Source organism: Homo sapiens, chromosome 9, assembly GCF_000001405.40.
Source record: "Homo sapiens chromosome 9, GRCh38.p14 Primary Assembly".
NCBI lineage: Eukaryota > Metazoa > Chordata > Mammalia > Primates > Hominidae > Homo > Homo sapiens.
The window spans coordinates 89,614,425-89,616,167 of NC_000009.12; the positions used below are offsets into that span (position 1 = coordinate 89,614,425).

The 1,743-nt window shown below is 52.7% G+C and overlaps 1 annotated feature.

Moving 5' to 3' along the window:
* Positions 1–542: an enhancer, noted in NCBI's record as "H3K27ac-H3K4me1 hESC enhancer chr9:92229340-92229881 (GRCh37/hg19 assembly coordinates)". NCBI's record gives its function as "activates a minimal SCP1, AML or CMV promoter by ChIP-STARR-seq in primed H9 embryonic stem cells {active_cell/tissue: H9 hESC(primed)}" and the evidence as "EXISTENCE:reporter gene assay evidence [ECO:0000049][PMID:30033119]".

A 1,743-nucleotide genomic window follows, 5' to 3' on the forward strand; every position in this document is an offset into this window, starting at 1 on the left:
TTCCCTAGAGTGATTCACGGCAGCAAAGCAATTCATGGAACTCCCGCGTTGAGCAAGAATTTGATGCTAACATTCCAGGAAGGAGGCTGCAACTGCAGGTTAGGCTCAGCTATCATAAGACCAGTTAAAACCATGGTGTCTTGACATGTCTGCAAATCACTCAAGCCCTGCAAGGCCGAAACAATGACCAAGATAAAGTCCAGGGAGTTGGTAGGTGGCCCACATGTCACCAAATGATCCACTTGGGCTGACTGAGGGTTTGAGGTCCTGCCAGGCTGTGTGGATGCCCACAGTCCCCATGCAGGGGAGGGTGAGTGAGTTTCTGCTTTCACCGTCATGAGCAGGGGCAAGCAGCTGTTCTCCTTCTATGTGGCCCCTAGGCCCCTGGGTATGCTCAGTCTCTCCAAGAGCTTGGAGAAGACTCAGGAGAAACAACTGCCCACCCAGAGGGGCTGCAGGAGCTGGGGGTCCCTCGGCGGCAGCATTCTCTGCTGGGGAAGGAGCTTAGCCATCTGGAGCTGCCTGTCCATGCTGGGTTCCCTGGCCTTGATCTTGATTATGTTGATAGAGAAGCAGACCACCCCACAACTGGGAAGCCCATTCCAAGGCAAATGGGCCATTCCACTTTCAGAGCTCCCCAAGGGGGCCCCGGCAGCTAAAGTGAGGCCTGAGCAGAACTTGCTGGCTTCCTCTGGTCACCAGACTCCTGCAGTGCCCATATGAGGTCAACAGTGTGGCATGAGGCCCAAATGATATCAGGTAGGGGTTACAGGGATTAAACTAGGAGCCCAGGGGTACACCCCCAGCTGCGTCCTCCAAGGGACTATCATCATAGGCACTTCTCAGTGGTCACTGCAGGCTCAGAGGACAGCTGCTGAAGCCCACTAGATGAGGCCATGTGCCATAGTCTGAATATGTCCTCTAAAATATATGTGTTGGAAATATAATCCCCAGTGTAATGGTGTTGGGAGGTGGGCCTAATGGGAAGAGTTTAGGGCATGAGGGCTCTGCCCTGGTGAAAGGATTAGTGCCCTATAAAAGAGCTTGATGGAGGGAGTTTGGTTCTTTTTCATCCCTCTATTCCTCTTGCCATGTGAGGATGCAGTGTTCCTGGCCCCAGAAAATGCAGCAAAGAGGTGCCATTTTGGAAGCAGAGAGCAGCCCTCACCAGACATTGAACCTGCTGGTGCCCTGATCTTGGATTTCCAGCCTCCAGAACTTCCAAAAAAATTTCTATTTTTTTAAATAAATTACCCAGTCTCAGGTATTTGGTTATATCAGAACAAACAGATGTACACACTGTGCTTAGTGTTTAGGGGCTTGAGTGTCCTGGGGGACAGGCCAGGTGGGGGTGATGGACTGGGGCAGAGCTTTAAAAGTGAAGCAGAACTCAGGCAGGTGGAGCTCTTGCACAGAATTGAGGACAGTCACTGCCCTGGGGACATCTTCTAGGTTTGCTCCCGGTCACCCCCTCAGTCCTGTCCTAAGGCTGGGTCTGCAGGGAGCCCACGCTTGGAGAGCAGATGCTGGGCTTGCTTGTGTTGCCTTTGCTTTTCCCAGCTCAGGGGCCTGGGCTCACACTCTTGCAGTAGGAGAGATTCAAGGACCCAAGGGTACACTTTTTCTGTGGGTGAATGGAGAGGGAGAGAGGGAAGGTGTGTGTGTGTGTGGAAGGAGAGAGAGAGAGAGAGAAAGAGGTTCTCAGAGCCTAAGCAGGAGTAGGATGGCCCACGGTGGAGAGCA